Source organism: Homo sapiens, chromosome 6 (genome assembly GCF_000001405.40).
Source record: "Homo sapiens chromosome 6, GRCh38.p14 Primary Assembly".
Taxonomy (NCBI): Eukaryota; Metazoa; Chordata; class Mammalia; order Primates; family Hominidae; genus Homo; species Homo sapiens.
Window position 1 is genome coordinate 68914054 of NC_000006.12, and position 21013 is coordinate 68935066.

The 21013-nt window shown below is 32.3% G+C and overlaps 1 protein-coding gene across 1 annotated transcript in view; it reads left to right on the plus strand.

Annotated features, from left to right (window-relative positions):
* The window catches only part of ADGRB3 (adhesion G protein-coupled receptor B3), a 754225-nt gene that overhangs the window by 278772 nt on the left and 454440 nt on the right, over positions 1-21013 (plus strand). Inside the window, exon 4 of the mRNA NM_001704.3 lies at positions 16506-16616. Coding sequence (NP_001695.2) covers positions 16506-16616 — 111 coding nt within the window. The remainder of the gene's footprint in view (positions 1-16505; positions 16617-21013) is intronic.

A 21013-nucleotide genomic window follows, 5' to 3' on the forward strand; every position in this document is an offset into this window, starting at 1 on the left:
AATCTACGTCTGATTGGTGTACCTGAAAGTGATGTGGAGAATGGAACCAAGTTGGAAAACACTCTGCAGGATATTATCCAGGAGAACTTCCCCAATCTAGCAAGGCAGGCCAACATTCAGATTCAGGAAATACAGAGAATGCCACAAAGATACTCCTCGAGAAGAGCAACTCCAAGACACATAATTGTCAGATTCACCAAAGTTGAAATGAAGGAAAAAATGTTAAGGGCAGCCAGAGAGAAAGGTCGGGTTACCCACAAAGGGAAGCCCATCAGACTAACAGCGGATCTCTCGGCAGAAACTCTACAAGCCAGAAGAGTGTGGAGGCCAATATTCAACATTCTTAAAGAAAAGAATTTTCAACCCAGAATTTCATATCCAGCCAAACTAAGCTTCGTACGTGAAGGAGAAATAAAATACTTTACAGACAAGCAAATGCTGAGAGATTTTGTCACCACCAGGCCTGCCCTAAAGGAGCTCCTGAAGGAAGCACTAAACATGGAAAGGAACAACCAGTACCAGCCACTGCAAAATCATGCCAAATTGTAAAGACCATCGAGGCTAGGAAGAAACTGCATGAACTAACAAGCAAAATAACCAGCTAACATCATAATGACAGGATCAAATTCATCTTATTTATGTTCCATAAAAGAAATTTTGGTAGAGGCAAAATTTCAAAGGTATGTGGTTGTTAAGGGTGAAAATGTTAGAGAGGAAGCAGTATGATACCTTACTCATCATTAAAGTGATTCTACCTCATGTTAATGACTCCATAGGATTACATTCTTTTTAAATGTATCTTAATATCAATTCACATTGTGAGGCACTTAATCTAGCATATTTTGCTTCCCATAGAGTATCAAATAAAATCTACAAAACAGTTGAAAGGAACTGACAGCTAAGATTATAAAAACCCAGAGCATATATTTGCCTGATTCTCTGTTAATCATATTTGAGCCTTGCTACCATAATTAACACCATGAAGAGATGTCTGCAAATTTAGAAAAGTAAAGGATACAAAGGACATAAAATTAGTTATAATTTGAAAGAAATCTTAGTGGTCTTATTAACTATATGTCCTTATACTTGAGAGCATGACTTGGCCATCAATTTGACGCAATTTTTTTTGAGTCCCAGATCCAGCACATATTAGCTACGTAATGATGGACAAGTAACATAACCTCTTGAAACCTCATCAGCTTCATAAGTAAAATGAGAATAATAATAGGACCTAACTCATCCAGTTAGGCACTTAAATAAAGTGCCTATTTCATTGGAAAGAATTCCAGCCACATGGCAGGATGGGCTGATATTAATAGACCCAGAGCTGTTAAAAATTCATTAAAATGTTGGATAAAATGTAATGACAGAAAAAATGAGCCAAGCCCAAAAGAAAGGGAAATGTATAGGTGTTCATAAAATACAACAGGAACAATAAAAGACAAAATATTAAGGGTACGCTGGATGATCTTAATTATTTTAGACAGCTATATGCTCTAAATGGCTAAGAATTGGGATCTAAGTGTTGTTGCGTAGACAGGAGAGTGTCCTCGGCCTTTGTAGTTTTGGAGAACTAAAAGCAATCCAACTATAGAAAGTCTGAGGCTTCAGAAAGCTGCCCCATCTATCAGCAGAGATCTAGTAAAACTACTCAGTGGCCTGGGAAACAGTGAGAAGAAAGCTTGCCTTCTGTCTGGAGCTTTGAGTGGGAGGGGAAAAAAAAAACTACCCAAGAAAAAAAACAAACACTGGCACATACCGCACAGGTGTATGGTGTGAATTTATGCTGTCATGATTCAGTAACCTAAAACCAAAGAATTTACTGCTATGGAAGTTGTGGAAGGACTTTTACAGTCAGGCATTATATGAGTTTCACAGGGGAAAAGTACTGGGCAAAATGAACACTCAATAGAAATAAAATTAAATAAAAAATATAAAGAAAAATAAATTAAAGAAGGAAACAGAAAAATATGCAGAAGAAGCAGCAGATGCAACACAAGGAGCAAACCAAGAACTAGGAAAAAACCACCTTAAATAAACTGTGAAGGAGATATGTTTAAAGTTACTTTCCTAAGGAGTTGAAATCATTTTAAAACTATGAATAAGAAAGAATGAATAAGTAAAAATAGAATAAACATGAGCAGATTAAGAAAAACAGGACTACTAAAAATTAAACATACAATTACTAAAATTAAAAATTCTGTAGATGGGATAAACACTAATGTAAAAGGAAATGTTTGTGAATTGGAAGATATATCTGAGGAAATCACCTAGAATAAAGTGAGTAAAGTTAATATTATGAGATTGTTCAATGAAAATAATCTTTCTCCTTCCCCTCTCTCTCCTCTCTCTTTCTTTTCTCTCACCCTTCCAAAGTACTTTTCAGTTGCTTACCAGGCAAAAGATACAGTAATGGACAGTTAATATTCCTACTCCTGTGAAGCTCACAGTTCAGTGGTTTGGTGGATACAGCAATTTATTAAAACAAATGAACAAAAACCAAACAAAACACAGGTTGATGAGTTCTTTGCAAATAATTAAAATTTGGTCTTACGAAATCACTGTATAAGTACTTTGTATTTGATAGTCGGGAAGGGTCTCTTGAAAGGGGTGAAATTTTAGGTTAGATAAGAATGACAAGACAATCTGTCAAGCACAATTAGTTTTTCAGTTGAAAAAAATCAATTCGTGCAGAGGAGAAATGAGCTATGCATGTTGCAGAAACGAAAAGGAGGCCAGTATGGTTAGAGCATGGTATGAAAGATGCAAGATGGTCTTGAAGGTGTAGGCTGGGGCAGATTCTACTGGGCTTTTTCATACGAGACAGGGTAAAGAGTTTGGATTCTATTCTAAATACTGAGAAGTCATAAAAGGACTTTATATATGTTTTACCTTGTAAAGGATCTGTCCCTGTGCTATGTGGAGAATTCTCAGCAGCAGAAATGCTGGGGGTTGGGCGGTGGTATGATGTGAGCAGTTAGGAGACCATTACATTGGTCCAAGTGATAGAGGCTACTGGGATTTGGACTGGAGTGGTAGAGGCATCAGCTCTACCACTGATTTTACAGATTTGGAAAAGCTTTGGATAGGGATATGATGGGAATTTAAAATTGACAGGACATGGAGTTGGGAGAAAGATAAGAATCACAGTCAATTCCAGGAATCATAGATAAATCCATGTAAGAATTATGTCTACAATATTCATTAGTCACACAGCCACCATTTAAGCACTTCCAGTGATCAAAGGCTTGGTAGGTACCTCGTGTGGCCACTCATTCCTTTTCATGCATCCCAAATCATTAGAAAGTTCTTCCTATGGATTTGACCTACTTTTCCTTATAAACAATATAGTTGCCTAAACAATATAGTTGATTTATTTGTAATCTTTCTTCTACATGATAAGTTTCTAAATATTTGAAGATAATTACTATTTTTTTTCCTGAAGTTTTCTTGTTTCAAGTTAAAAAATCTCAGTTCCTGATTTCTGTTAGAATCTATGTGTATGTAGCTTAGGGTACTAATAACTCAATATTGAAGTTTGATTGTTTGGATTTGTCCTAGTTTTCTTACTGGATTTTATTCTCTAAAGTGCCTTATCCATTGGGCACTCAAAAATTATTTCCAAAATAAAAATTAAACTAATCTCTTTTTTTGAAACAATCTTCACTCTCCTTCTCACCTTTTTAATGTTCTGAGCACCTTTCTTTGCACACATTTTACTTTATCAATATGCCTCTTAAAAAATAAAGACCACTACTAATTGATATGCAATTCAAAAGTTCTGAATTCCATGCTTCAAAAATGCAATCAAAAATTAAATTTAGGTTTGGTATAGCTATCTTACAATGTTGACTCATTAAACTTTGGTTATCAAATAACCAATGCAATCATTTTAATATAACTTATTTTAAGTCAATTGTATCCCCACTAGGAGGATATACTCTTATACAATTTTCTGCCAAAGAAATAATAATCTACAGAATATACAGATTCATAGAGGGATTTTAATTACTGGAAAAATGTCAGGTAAAACATTTTTTTAAGAAACTAAAACACAATGGAAAACATTTTTCCTTCAGAGAAGCAAAATTGTAATGACTTCTACTTACTTCTTGATGAAAAAGTTCATTATAATTGGATAATTAGTGCTAATGTCTCCTGTAAAGGTTGGGATGTTGGGGGAAGAAAAACCTGTTAAGATGGAATAGGGAATAATTTGACATGTAAGAGATGCCGTCCCTAACCCCCTTGCCCATCCTTGGCCACTTGGTCACCAGCCTTGTAGAAGCACAGTCATATGATGATGAGCAAACTATTCTGGACTCCTTGCTAGATCATGTTAGTGTTCTCATATTGTTCTGAAAATACAAAATCACTGGAAGGACCATGTTTAATGGATATTACTAATATGCAATACCCAGATACAAGTAAAAGAATGTGAATTTATAACCCTAGCATTGTCATCAAGGTGCTCCCAAATTCTCTAGCCTTCCAAGAACTTATCTTTAATTTAGTATAAATTTTTAAACACACACTTGGCTTACCTTTAACATAATTTAGAGCTAGAAATTCAACATCCTCTTAATATTTCTAAAGATTCTTTGAGGCAGGGGTTGCATACATTTCTGCCTGTCCACTCATCCACTTATTTCATCCGTATTATCAATAACTGCTTTGCATTTTCCTTCTGGGGCTATTTTCTTTATTCTGTCTCCCTTTTCAACCTCAACATGAAACCAAGCTTTTTTTTCTTTAATCCCTTCCTTTTAAGTATCTCTAATGCAGGTTAAGTAGGCATTTAATAAAAGTTGGATGGAGTAGAGAGGGATTATATTTTACCGCAGCGTAGTATTTATTTCTATCTAAATATCACTATTATTAATAATTTATTTTTCAATTCCTTCCACAATGAATTTTTCAGTTTTTTTCCTCTGGTCTCATTTTCCCACCATTTTTCTGGACATGTCTTTTTTTATTCCTCTCCCAAGACTTCTTAGCCTCACTCTCCTTCTCTATTGTCCACAGTGAGCCTCACCTTCTCTCTCTGGAAGCCTCAGTAAACTTTAATTATTACTCTGCAATTATGTAAAGTATATGTCTATTCTATAGCCAGTAACTTTTCAAGCCGGCGTCCTATCTTTATATAACCAAATGGGTTCAGCACAATATTTTGATAAGCCTAAAACAGCTTTCTGCAGTATTTCTGCTCAAATTATTTTTAATTTTATATTTATTTATTCATCAAATATTTATTTTGGGCACTGTGTGTTTGTTAAAAAGAAATGCGAAATGTACAGCAAGGAGTAGGGTCTCCTAAGGGAAATGATTATTTCTTTTAATAAATGCTGTTAGCAAAATATTTATGAGGCACTTAGTGTAGGTGGCCTGCAAAATGTATATTGGCCGATGAGAGTGAGAGGGTGACAGTTATTTGCCTAAAAGCCATACCTGATCCTGTAGGAATGAGTGAGATTTCTGGGGAAGAGAATGTTGAGGCAGAACCTAAGGGAAAAACTCACATTTAGAGGATGAAGAGTCACTAAGGCAATGAAAGAGACAGAAAAGCAGAAAAAAGGAGGAAGAAAATTAAAATCCTGTCAGCCTTGAAAGCCAAGGAAGGTGAGCATTTCAAGAACGGTTGTGGGATGGGGAGGGCGGGATAATGTCAAATCCTGAAAGAATCATGATGAACGTGACAGTTCTTAAAAGGCAATTGACTTTCAAGAGAGCAGTTTCATTCAAGGCAGGAGGTTTGAAGTCAGATTATCTGACATTATTGGGTGAGTGGGAAGAGAGGAATTAGAGGATACTCTTTTGAGAGGTTTCTGTAACAAGAAAGTATTGTTCAGAGAATGAAATGGGAAATTATATATTTTGCAGTTACCCTTTATTAATCAAGAATCAGGGGCTCAATTATCATAGAGAAAATTATTGGAATGTGAGGGGGTTGAGATGGAAGCAGAGTACAGCTGGCGGTAACTCAGAGCATCCAAAACAAACGTGGAAGAAAATAAATTAGAAAGTTAGCTAAGGAGGAAAACATTCAATGTGCTCTGCTAGATAGCTGGTCCTTGTACTGAAGGGGAACACAGAGTACCAAGTAAACGAAATGAAAAACACGAATATCTAGACACACTGATAAAATTTCAAAGCTCCAAAGATAAAAAGTCCTAAAAAGCGGGGGCCAGGTGCGGTGGCTCACGCCTGTAATCCTATCACTTTGGGAGGCCGAGGCAGGTGGATCACCTGAGGTCAGGAGTTCCACACCATCCTGGCTAACATGGTGAAACCCCATTTCTACTAAAAATACAAAAAATTAGCCGGGCGTGGTGGTGGGCTCTGTGGTCCCAGCTACTCCGGAGGCTGAGGCAGGAGAATGACGTGAACCCGGGAGGCGGAGCTTGCAGTGAGCCGAGATCCGCCATTGCACTCCAGCCTCGGCGACAGAGACTCTGTATCAAAAAAAAAAAAAAAAAAAAAAAAAGTCCTAAAAATCTTCCAGGTATAGAAGTCGTTCTCTTATAAGAAGACTCGTGGGCAACACTGGATACTACGAGTGAGTAGAGAAGTATCTTCAAAGTTTAATGAGAAAAAAAACTTAACCCTAAATTTCTAAGGCTTGCCAGACTAACGTTCAAGCGTGTCAGGGTGAGGTAAATCAACTTTGGCCCATTCTCTGTGAAAGAATATATTGAACAAAATGATAAATGAATCCAAAAAAGAAGACAAATGAAGAAACTAAAAAAAAATCTAATAGTTAAATCTAAATTATTAAAGCACAATGTACAAATGTAATGGTTTGGTAATACATGACAAATGGATGTAAAGGAAGAAAGGGAAGTGATAGCAGACCCAAATTATTGTCTTGGTTGGAAAAGCCTATAGATGCTGATTAATTAAAGAGATTGACAGATTTTTAAAAATACGCTTTATGTATATGTAAAAAATTAGGGTATAACACTTTTAAATAATTAAATTAGGATATCTCGAGAAAAAAGTAGCAATGGCAATTCCTATCAATCCAAAAAAAATTAGGAAAAGGCAAAAAATAAACAGCAAGAAAACATGGTAAAGACAAACTCTAAAATAAGACAGAAGAGAAATGTTCAACATCGTAATAAATATAATAAATGTGAGTGGGTTTAATTCCCTATTAAAAGGAAGAGGGTCAGATGGGATTTTTAAAATCCGACTATATATGTTATGTAAAAGATACATGCTTGAAGCAAAATGACACTAAGGGGCTGAAAATAAAATACAGAAAAAGATGTAGCAGACAAGTGTATCAACAAGGCAGGAATAATAATATCAGACAAAATTGGAGTAACATGAAAAGCACAAATCAGAATGAAGAGAGATGTTGTATGTTGATAGAAATCAAATAGATTCAGATGAAGAAGAGTTAACGTCTGCCCTGCCAACACTACGTGTACTGAAATATGTCAGGATTAAACACTAAACACTTCGGTGGGGGGTGTGGAATGTGGCAATATCTAACAAAATTTAAATTGTGATTCCTCACAGCAAAACCACTTTAGGAGACCCTCTTCAAGTAGAAAAATCTTTGAAGACAACATATATGTCTAGCAATAGGGAAATATAAGGGAATGATGTAGTTCAAGTACATTTATATCTTCTTGGGCAGTTTTAAAAAATAAAAATAATAAAATATATAATATAAGAATAGAAGGATAGACTGATAAAGGACAGATATTATCTTCTGAGGTATAGAGAGACTAGATTGGTTCATAACAAAAAAAAATCTATTAAAATTAAAAAGAGAGAAAACTGTAAGCATAATACAAAGACCAGTAAGACCGCAATATCGTTTGTGTCGTAGTGACGTGGCTTTTGTGTCCACAGTTTTAATTTAAATGGTGCTTTAAAACAAATTTTGTGGAATAATAAAATGGATGAGATACGCACTTGGTTTTATATGAAGTACTCTATGAATGAAAAACTAAATTAAAAGTTAGTTATAAGAGAAATGTATATATAACTACTGCTAACCTTCCTAAAGCACTGGCTTGTTAATTTAATTTTCATTCAATATTTCATAAGCCTTTTATATCAGACTAGGGATAACAATAATGTTTTTCTATGAAAAACAAGATTTTTGTCTGCTATGTTCACAGCTACATCTCCAGTGCTGAGAATCCTGTGTGGAATGTAATGGGTGCTCATTTAATGTTTGTTGAATGAGTGAAATGTATTCATTCCCAAATGCCTTTGATAAAATTCCCCCTTATAAAAAAATTTCTGTCTCATGTGGATGCCAGCTACAGCATAGATGTACTTTTTAAAATAAGTATTAGGCAATCTGAGATTTCACATGCAAGGTAAACCTTGATTTAATGCTTAGATGTGGATCGAAATAACTTCAACCTTGAATGATTTGAGAAAATGTCTTGAGGAAACGAAACAACTCTTATGTTACTCAGACTCGTGCATGTGCACACATTCGTGTACAGACCTGTTCATCGAGCTTGACCAGGTCTTCTACAACTCTTGGTCTGCTGGGAGATAGCCTATATGTTCATGAATCAACTTTCAATCTGAGAAAAAAATGTAATTTTAGAGTATAAGGAGACCTTAGAGATCATGTTCCCGGTATCTCCTTTTGCAGGAGGAGGAAACAGGTGCAGGGAATTTAAGGCGTGATGCCCTGAAGTATGAGCTGCATCTCCTGATTGCTTATTTATTTTTCCACCCCTCCACGTTGAGCCTTAACCTTCATCCCAGTTAAAATGGTCTTAACTATCTTTAGTATGTAAAGCACAGCTTTGAAAATGCTAATTATTTGTAGATCTCTCTATAGAATACCACTTGTCCCTTAGTATAATAACGACTGATGAAAACAAGCTCAAAGATTAGTTAATTGATTAAAGGAATTTTTACGTAGTAGAAAAATACTGAAAATATTTTCCATGATCTTAGTTCATTTCTGAAAAATAAGCTAAAAGGTTAAGGGAATAGTTAAGATGGAATTAGAGTTATTTTAGAAATTATAAACGCTATATACATGTCTTAGTAGAATCATTCTTATTAAGAAAGTCAGGTTTGATACTTTTCATTAAATGTGTATAAAAGATACTATTTTAAGTTAAAACTTTTTGTAATAAACTAAAATATAGTGGTAGATAAATGGTAAAACATGACCAGAACTACTTTGGTATTTCTAGATTCTCTTTTAATAAAGCATTTTTATATCAATATAATAGGTAAAGTAAAAATATGTAAAAGACAGAAGAAACCCTTCTCCCTTACCTCCACGTACAAAAAGTAAGCCTTGAGATCTTTCAACTCAATTGATTGTAATTCAAGTACAATAAAGATGTACCAGAATTACCTAAATACCAGTGTTTTATGAAAAAAGAAGACATTTCATACTCCACTTATATTTTTTTGGTCAAGCAACCATTAATCAAATCTTTAACCTTCAATTGTAGGGTAGCATTTATTTTGTGCTAATAATATATTAATAATGTACCAATAGTAGTACTATAAAATAATGTACAAATTATTTTATGGAATATTTTAAGTTATTTCAGTAAATATGTATACAGTGATATTGCTTTAAGTTAAATTATTCTACACTGCACTGTTATAATAAATGATAATGAGCTTTGGTGAATTTAAAAGTACAATACTGGACTTTTAAGAGAATTGTCCATCCTTTTGGTAGCCCCTATTAAAATCTTCTCTGAAGACAGAGTGTGCATGTCAGAAAGTTTGGCAGAAAAGCAACCAAGCCATGTTCTAGTTTGGAAAATATAGAAATAACCATCCAGGGACAATTCAGTTTACTTTCTTATATTTCTGACTTTCTAAGATCTTGTCAAGAAACACATTAGCAACAAGGTTATTACAATTGTATGCTGTAAGAGTTTTAGTCTGCTGTAAAGGTGTTAACAATTATAGTAAATCATCTTATTTTGCCACTGGTATGCTAATGTGCTAAATTAAGGTCTGAAACAAATCGACAACAAAAAATATCCAACTGCTAGTACTACTGAAAGTAGAATTGTATTTGTCGTTTATGTGCTTCTCATCACCAACAAATAAAACATATTTTTAAGCAAACTATTACTGCTGATTTATAAGAATTCAGTAGTTGTCTCAGAAAGAGATATTAACATTCAATTGCATAATGGATAAGAAATAACAAATAATTCCTGCCTGATTACACACATTGATGAATTCTTGCATGGAAGAGTGTGTCCAGCTTACTAACATTTCCTGGATGGCAAACAGAATAAATATAAAAATAATGATTTAAGGGTTTATCCTCTGAATTTCCTGGAAACATTCTCATAAAATATTTCATTACATAATCTTCAAACAAATGTTTGAGGAGTTCCAAAAGAAAATCTATTATATGTAATTATTTCATCATTTTTACTTGGAGTAATGTTAAATAAATACAGCATTATTGTCTAAATATACCGAATATATTTGGTAATCACTTCTACAAAATGTTATAAGTAACATAATGTAACAACATTGAAAACTCTTGAACATTTTTAACTTTTCTATAAACATATTAGCAGTGTGCCCTTTGACTATTTCATGTTTTATCCATTTTTAGAAGTGCCCTAAAATTACTCATTTGCTTAACAGAGTTACGCCCAGCTACCCAACGAAATCATTTCTGTCGAAGTATTTCGGAAAGCAAGTTTCATTTTGTTACTGTAAGAAATAGCATTTTGGGCCCTGTAGCCACATATCTAGCTTTGGGAATGGAACCAAGAAATAATAAGAAAGAGCATCAGTTAATCTCTTAAATGTTAATGATATATTTATCAGATTTCTACTATTTTTAATATTGATTAATCTTATTTTATGTAAATATATCCCAATATTTATTAATTTATTATATAACTGTCATTATTGAATTTTGTAGAAGTTTTCTTCCCTCATCTATTGTGTTTTTTATGGTTCTATGGGGAAATGAAATTAGTATATTTATAATCAGTAGTAAAATATCCGTTTAAAAATTGTATTCAGTTCATGCTAACTGTAGAAATGTTTTTGATTATATAAACTCCAGTCTTTTCTCCTATCCTCTCTATCTTTTCACAGAACACTTGGCTATATAGGTACTAAAAAATATCAAATGAGAGAATACAATTTTTAAATCTGATAACATTTTTAAACACTATTAAAATCAAGGCAAACTCTTACAAATTAGAAAGATACCAAAATCCTGACAATCTGGGCTGCTCTTCACTATCAAAATATCTCCCAACTACAGTATGCAGGAAATATTTTCATGCAAAGTCACTGTGCCACTTCTGTTTCTAAATGACCAAATTTAATAATTTATATTCCTGCCTAAATATGAGCCTATAAGGCATTAAATCTAATAACATTTTTCAGAAAATATATGGGTGCTTCTCAACAGAATTTACTTGCCTACCATACCTTAAGCCAGTCAGATGATGGAATCTTTCACCTGTCAGCAAATCATATTTTAATATTCTTTCTTGTTAGGTTGTGATAAATGAGATACCACTTCTAATGTAAGATTGTATGGCTTGAAAGATTTAATTGTATTTCTCTTTGGCGACATATTAAAAGATTATTTTTATTTTCTCTTTGGAGACAAATTAGCAAGTCATTGTAGTTGAGGGCATTCCAGTATTTAGGAAATTTATATAAAAAATGAGTCTCAAATGTAGCTCAATAATATTTTGATTATAATAGTTTTATATATTTCAAAGGATCAGGCCATGTATAATGGATTTCCTTGAACTATGAGCTTTAGAATATCAGAAGCCATTTCTGATTCATCTTTATAACTTTGGTTCCTAAGACACTAATTAATAAATGTTTATTTAAAAAATAAAGCTTTGTTTCAGGACAGTGACACTTAATTTTCAAATGAAGCAGTATTTCAATTATTTTAATAATAACCTGAATATTTATGGATAATAACCTTATTGACAGCAGGAATTTTGACCATCATAATCATACATAACTAATTTTCAAGTACTTCACAGATAATTTTGTTTTTCTCCCCATTGAACTAAGCAAGTTAAAGAAATGGTTCTCGACATCTAGAAACTTGCACTTTGGAGAAACAATTCCTAATGCAAAATTTGTTTGTTTGATAAATAAATATTGAACTTCAGTTATGTCCAAAGCAGGAGGTGATTTTAAAATTCATAAGTAAAACTTCCTTTTCCTTAGAAGTTTTTAATCTGCTAGGAAGAGTAAGACAATCTAATAATTATAATGAAAGTCCATTTTTAATTCAAAGCCAAGAAAAATGGAAGTTAAGGAAGGCAGAGGTTGTTTATGTTTAGTTAATGAGGAGACAGTTCATGGAGGTGGTGCCATTTGAATTAGGCTTGGTGAGAGATTTACTTGCAGGCATCACTAGAAAAGCAGGTGTTTTAAGTTTAGGAAAATGTAAGAAACGGTGCAGTGGTTTTACGAATCCCATAGCAACAAGTAGTCCACTTTGGCCACACAATGTAAGTAGGACGTAACTCAAAAAGTTTATTGAGAAGCAATAATGGCCTAGGTGAGGATGACTTCAGTGGACACGTAAACAAAAGATAACTAACAATGTGAAGTAGTATTTCCATTGCTAGATAGATTACAGTAATGACTCTTATCTCCTCATCTATCGATGTGCTTGTCTGTATGTTTAAAAATACACATGGTAAAATAAGAAACGGATATGTGTTTGTGTTTTAACTTTTTAATGAATTCGATTTCACATTATTATGACCTTTAATTTCCAGACAAAAACTTTATAACTGATAATTGACTATCAAAAGTCAAATTTTAAGTCTATTTGTTTTTTAATGATCTACTTACATATTCCTGGATGGGGGAAGAAATGACATAAAATTGTACTGAAGGAAATTATTTTTAAAATTTTTCTTTCATGTAACTTTGATTGTATCTGACTTCCAGAGCCTATTGCTTTTTAGCAAGAAGCACAGTGAAAGATTGAGAAAATGTGCCTAAACATGGCAGTCATCTCTAATCATTTGGGTTTTATACATGAACATAGTTATTTACCCACCACTTCATTGATAACATCAACATAAAGATATAGGAAATAACCCTGTATATTCATAAACCATGTACCATGTGTACATACATAATGTTATGCTATACATTATTTCATTTGATTTCATAACTTGCTTTCCATTGCTTTCACCAAAGCAGATCATCTTTTTATTTGGTTATGTTCTTTTTCTCGTGTAACTAATGTAATATATTATCTTTGCCAACTAAGAATCATTTGAATATGAATCAACCACCCATGAAGAATTTATATTATTCAGAAAGCCTACTATGCTAAAAGTTTACCTCAACCCACATTCACCACATAAAATAATAGCAAAAATAATTGGTTTTTCCTAAGTTTGGATGATCCAATTGGCCTAAATTTTTATTAAAAGTGAAGAAGATAATGCCATCTTGAAAGACAGCACAAATGTTTTTAAAATACCCCATTGCAAGGTATGGAGAGAACCATAACATTATCTGTTAAATCTTACTGTTAATAGCAACTCTAAAACAAAGAAGATTTTTATTTTGAAACATGGGACGTAAACTTTGGCAGAAGAAACACACTTGGTTAGGTAATAGTTTATATATTTCAATTACAAATTTGAATTAAGTCTAGAACAATGGATGTGGAATATTCAAAAAAATACCACCATAGTGTTGTTTTCCCATCTGAAAAAAAAGAATGAATTTTTAATATCTTCTCTCTTATGAGGAATTTAGTTACATCAGGACCTCATATTAATTCTTATTTTTTCAAAATAATTTTTCAGATACATTATATTGTTGTACAACAATAATCAACAATTCCAATTCAAACTTCTGATTATGTAATAAGTTTGTAATCAAGTTCATAAACTATTGAAGAATTTCTTATCGCAAATATTGTGACATGATAAACTATCAGCACTAGTATTCATATAACATTGATTATTGATAAGTGGAAATAACTACGGTGTAGGATATTGAAATTTAATTTCTAGGATATTGAAATTTAATTTGCATTACACATATTTTAAGAGATGTAAATCACATTCCAACTAACAATATAAAATGATTTACTTAAATTCGTTCTATTCTTTAAAAAAATGAACACTTCAACTTGTTTTAAACTTAAGAAAGTGTTAAAAATTGAATGTGACACTTTTAAAATCATCCCAAGGCTGGCCATGGTGGCTCCTACCTGCAATCCCAACAATTTGGGAAGCAGAGGTGGGAGGATCCCTTGAGGCCAGGAGTTTGAGATCAGTCTGGGAAAGATAGTGAGACCTGCTCCAACAACAACAACAAAAACTAAAATTAGCTAGGCATGGTGGATGGTGCTTGTTGTCTTAGCTACTTGGGAGGCTGAGGCAAGGGAGAGGATCACTTGAGCCCAGGCGTTCAAGTTTACAGTGAGCTATGATTGCACCACTGCACTTCAGCCTGGGTGACAGACCAAGACCCACGGACATACTCAGACCTTCTAAATTTCAAGTTCATAGTCTCTATTAAAAATAAACCATTTTCCTTAGAAGAGAGATTTCAGCCTATTATCATGCTGCCACTGAGTTGAAGAATTACCTTCTACCAGAACAGGTTATACAGTTATTTACTACATAATTAATTTGTAGGCATGAAATAATCTTTTCAGCATTCTTTGCCTGCTCAGTGCCAAAATTACCTTAGTGTGAGCATCAGAGCCCCCAGATGACTTATGTAAACCTGTACTCTGACATAAATGCTGAAAACAATAGACATACCCGCAACTTAAAATACAAATTCAAGAGGAAATAAGGTGAAGCATACTGTTGATAAAAAATTACTACTAAATTCCGGTGCTATTTCATATCCAGAAACATTCTAATTGCATATAATATTTGAAAATATTGGATAGTCAGTCTAGATATAAAATTCCTAAATTGTTCATTTTCAAAATTGTTAAATGAGTGATTAGATACTTCTTATGGCCTGGCAAAACATGGTTTAGACACCACATACAGCACACATAACTGAATGGAATGAAAGGATGTTGGCGGTAATGGAAAATAGTGATGGATTTTACAAGGTCAAACCCACTGACATTTTGTTATTGATAAGCAGAATCAGCTACAGTGTAGGATATTGCCGAATTCTAAGCAAATGAATTTTTAAAATATATTACATAGAAGCTATTCTTTTACATTTTCTGCCTTGGATATTTTCTCACCTGACAAAAACAAACACACATTTAGATTTCTCAGATTTCTCAGAGGATGTTCTTTTGAGTAGATTATCTGTAAAAAATTTCTGACACATCAGTCAGGTGTCATGGTTTAATTTTTATGTGAGGATTTGGTAGGACAGATGAAAATGTGTGCTAGTCTTTTCTCCTTCCATACAAGAATTGGTAGAATTAGTGCTTACAAGATACACAGCTTAATTACACTATCTGCAGTGTCACTGGAACACACTTCACCCAGTCATCTTTGTCATGTTTAAGAGACCTGGACTTAAGGGCCTAGTAGTTTTCTTGATGTAAAAGATAGCAGCACAATTTCTTGCCCCTCAGTATTCCCTTCCCATATCTAAACTCCTATGAGACAGAACCAACAACTATTCCATATATTAGGCTCTGATTTTAGTAAAACCACTTTTCAGTCACAGTTCAATAAGCACAGATCTCTTGCAGAATTCTAAGAATATGAATTTTTAAAAATATGTTATATGGAAGGTATTCTTTTACTCAACTAATTTTTTTCTTTCTTCCATTTGTTCCCGAATTAGTACCAGACATTTTTTTTCTGCCTTTCTTGAAAGTTCTACTATCAAATAATCAAATAACAGAAGGCTAGAAACAATAAATTTTATAAATATAACTTTTAAAAGAGAAAATATTCTCTTACATGTGATTAGAAAAGGGGGGAGGAATTAATTGGGGCAGGGAAGGAAATAATGAGAATGAACAATGCCACTATATTCCATGAGCCTTTGAGAACACCAAGGGCAACCTCATCTTTGGATGAAAAAAAAAAAAAAGGTAGTCTATTAAGTGACTGGGTTTACCTTAGAAAATATAAGTTACAGGACTGAGTAATCTAGTAACAAGAAAACTGCTGACAAACTTCTGGGGGTGATTGTTGTTTAGCAAAGAAGCAGATGCAACTAAGTCAGGATTCTCTCTCTAAAAAAACAACAGTTAACACTGTGGTTGTATTTTTTTCTTATGTGTTACTTCAAAACCTTATCAGAAAAGAGTACAGTATCTCTGTTAAGTTCACTTAAAATCTGTTGTGTCATTTTATTGACTATTACTGTTTTTTGAAATCTTGTTCATGTTTATAGGTTTTCTGACTTGAGTTTAGAGATATTCCAAGCAGATTAGCCTAGCAAGTTTAGAATTGTGAATTTAATAATTATCTTCTAGGTATGTATAGGAACATATTGCATGAGACAGTAATGTAATTTGTGAGAAATGTCTACACACAAGCTTTCATATACCTTTATTCTGTCTTTAGAATTTGGAATGATGGGAGATCATACAATTAAAAGTCAGCGACCTCGATCTGTTCATGAAAAAAGGGTCCCTCAGGAACAAGCTGATGCTGCTAAATTTATGGCACAAACTGGTAATACGTTAGTTACATTTTTCTATTTATTGTTGTTAATTTAATGAAACCACTGCATGTTTTCATAATCTTTTGCTGCACATTTGTCAGTTTTTGGAGCTGATATTTTTTCGAGCCATTTTTTTTGTCACCAGTTAAAGTCCATAAATAAAGTAGCTGTGAATTGAAAAGTGCACAAAAATTATGTAAGAATTATTTTGCTTTCAGTATGGGACATTTAGGATTTACATAGTAGCATTTATGCTAATTAACTACTTAAAATGTATCATTAAACTTTTAAAGAAAGACAGCCAAAGTTATTTCTTCAATAATTGATTGACATAAGACTTTCAAAAATTAGAACTTTAAATGACTCTAGACAATGAAATTTATTTTAACAATATTGAATATATTGAATTTTTTCAAGTATGATCCTACTTGTATTAATTATTGTTAAAATGCACAGAAAATATAAACTTTTAAAAAATTTAATAATTTTTATTTGAAAAGAGTTTTGTTATATAAGCTAAATAATAAAAAGTTGAAAGTGTTAAGTAAGGTGTAACACACTCCATCTAATTAAATACCAACCTAAACTGACTTTCTACTTTATAAAATGTTTAATTCTAAATTAATTAGATTACTTTTAAAAACCTCCCTCCAAATATATCTGTAAATATTTGGAGTATGTATAATTTATGCCCATTATTTAGTTACAGAATTTGAACTAATATATGTATTCATATTTTTTCTTATCACAATAAATGGTCTAATTTCATCTGAGTACATTGCATGTAGTACATCCTTAAAAAGTGTTTCAACTTTGTTATGTAAATTTTCAATTGTCACCTTTATTTTGGGAAATTGAAAGCTAACAGTTTTATCTATGTCTTAAAAAATTGTATACATCTCAATGTTTTGCCATTAATACAGAAGTTTCAAGTACATGACCAGTTTCCTGACATGACATTTAGACTGATAGTGATGAAATTCCCCCAAGAAATGAATATTTCCTTCAGTTCACATGTTCTTAAGATAATAGTTTTTAGAACAGTAGATCTGAATCTACAGTATAAAAATGCAAATATTGTTAATGAGTTTTGCTCTTAATAAGGGGTGAGTAGAAGATTTTGATACATTAGTTGAGTTGTAAGGAGGTCAAATTTTCAGAACAAGAAGTTTAAAATAAATTTTACAAGGATTCACTTTTAGTTTTTTTGAGATATATATTGCAACCAAATACAGAAATGTAGAAACTTGCTTATCTGGATCCCTTTTTGTGCACTTTCTTGTTTAAGAAAAATTGATTTTTATTTTTACTATTTGTTTGAACAAGTCTAAAAGTGCATTATCAGGTTTAGGCAAATTTCCAAATTTCTAAATGTATTTCTCTCCTTTACAGGGAGCAAAAAGTCTCAACCACTGAGCAGAGATTAGAGACATTAAGTCAAGGCACACGGGCATGGGCTGACTACTCATCTTTGTCGGCACCATCTAATGGGGGCATTTCTGCAAGATTAAAAAAGGTGTATTTTATTTGTGCAAAAGAGATGGCAGGCATTGGTTTACTGAAGTTCCTAAAAATTGGAGTCAATAGGAAGTGAAATGGAAAATGATAGTTTTAAATTTCCAATAGCGTAACATGATTAGTTTATGTGTAAATATTATGCAATTTAGCCAAAAGTTTTTGTACAAGTTTTTTTTATTTGTCTGTGACATAGTTCAATTCACAGTTTTCAGCCAAAACCCTTTTGGTAAATTCAAATTTCAAGGAACATTGTGTTTTCCTAGTAAGGAATTACTAATTTCAAAATGATGAATAATAAATATTTATTCTTTTATTTTAACCAAATATAGTATAGACAAACATAAATACATGTATAAGACTTTTAACAGAAGACAATTATAATGTGAAAAAGAGAAGAATATTTTTCCTTAAATATTTTCCTAGATTATACTTTTTTAAGGTGTTAAGGTAGTCTGAATAAATACAGGTAAGTGTCACACAATAAAATTTTACAAAAATTAAGCTTTACTTATAAAAGTGTTCCCTGTATTTGTCTTTAAGCCAGAAAAAAGACTGTAACATATAAATAATATAAAATTTGTTAACAGTAATTTGAGAACAAAGAATAAGGCAAAAACATACATTTAAATAATAATAAAAGACAATATATTTTTATATTAATCATGGAGAAAAAAGCAAAGGCTATCACACTTTAATATTTAAGAATTACTTCTCAAAATGAGTAAACTGGCCTCTTCAATCAATATGATCAGTAAAAGATTGTAATTAAAAGCAATCTTTCTACAGAGTGATAAAGTGAGTGTGACTTTTTTAAAAAGAGTAACATTTGATAAAGTAGCATAGTTTGGATATAAATGATGGTGCTCTAATAGCCTATCATGCAATCTTTATTTATTATTAAGGAATATAAAATTAAATGATATCATATAATATATATATTTAATATAGACATCTAAATTAAATGCCAATAAGATGGCTTAAGATATCCTAGTTACATTTTCTTATGCTTAAGCATCATAGTCATCAATTAATTTATAAACATGTTTAGAAAAGCAGTCTTTCATTACCGTGAGGAAAATAGCCTAAATTTGGACTATGTAGCATTTTATCTAAAATTTTAAAAAATAAAATTAGGCTGGGTGCAGTGGCTCATGCCTGCAATCCTAGCACTTTGTCATTTACAAGGCGGGTGAATTACCTGAGGTGGGAGTTCAAGACCAGCCTGACCATCATGGTGAAACCCCGTCTCTACTAAAAATACGAAAAATTAGCTGGGTGTGGTGGCGCACACCTGTAATCTCAGCTACTCAGGAGGCTGAGGCAGTAGAATCTCTTGAATCAAGGAGGCAGAGGTTGCAGTGAGCCAAGATCACACCATTGCACTTCAGCCTGGACTATAGAGTGAGACTTCGTCTCAATAAGTAAATAAATGAATAAATAAATAAAATTAAAAGTACATTTCTAATTTCATGACTTTAAGATAATAGCAAAAGTTTATATTAATATTTTGTTCATAATTTAAAATGCATTCTCACATATTATCTCACTCAATCTTCACAGATTTTGAAGTAAATATAATATTCATTTTATCGAAGACATTCAAAGAAATAAAATGACTTTCTCAAGGTCACAGAGCTATTATTCAGTAGATTTCCATCAATCACAGGTCTTCTGACTTTAATTGCAATGCTTTTCCAGTTTCCTTTTGTGTTTCATGCTAGACTAAAGAGCTTTTAGTTCATACTATCTCCAAAGATACATATATTAAAAACAGTATACTTTGTCTTATAGTTTACTATTTTAATGTCATTGAATATTTTTAACATCTTTCTTATAATGTATATTAGTTATTCTCACAATGGCCTAATGTGCTTGACTAGAATGTTCTTCATACTTTTATAAATAAGGAAGTGGCAGCAGGGAAAAAAGAAGTATTTAGTGGAAATGTCACTGAAACTATGGGATTTGAGTTATAACAAGAACATTTTGATAGGTAGGCCACTATTTCACTGGCAAAATTTTAATTCAAAATCTGAAAGCCAATGTTTTATTTATTTACTTAGTTTATTTTTGATCAATGAAGAGAGAGGAAGAGTGACAAGACCAATTCTGAGCATTCATTATCAAACTCTCATGATCCAGTCACCACTGCTTAGCCTGTTCAGCATCATTGCAGTATCATACATTCAGAAGCAACCCAAATGTTTAAATACTTGTACGAAAGTAATTTAAATATAGGGCTTGATCTGAATTCACTGCTCAGTTTAGTTAAATTATGTTTTCTGTCATTATGACAGTGCAAGAGGAAAAGGACTGCTTTTATGGTAAAATAGAACTAATTTTATTCATAACCTTTATCATTTCACTTATAGAATCCACATTGTTCATAATTTTCTGACTTTTAATTAATAACATGCAACCATAATATTTATACCTCACTTAATCTCATCATAGTTCAGAACATCATTTTAAAAAGTGTATTATATTTTCCCTAACTTCAGCTTAAATTTTCTATTGCTAAATTTACATGCACATATACACATATATGTGGATTTTTTAACTATTATCCTTCTATTTGGTTTATAGAATAATGATTTTCAATCTTGATAGAGTATTCTTTAATGTAAAAGAACAAATTATGAAGCATGGCTTTAACTGTTATTCAAATAGTCATCCAAGGACATTTTTATGAAATTAGCAATATATAAATTTGTGAAGAAAAAAATTCTGAATTGATGAAGGGTTATCTATACATTATTTTCAAGTCACATTGATCACAACACTGAAAAGCAGTCCCATTTGATGTAATCTGTCATCCCAGTTACTATTGTCTGTGCCCTTACAATATATGTCCAGTTATAAACAGATGGTCATCTATGCCTCTTGGTGC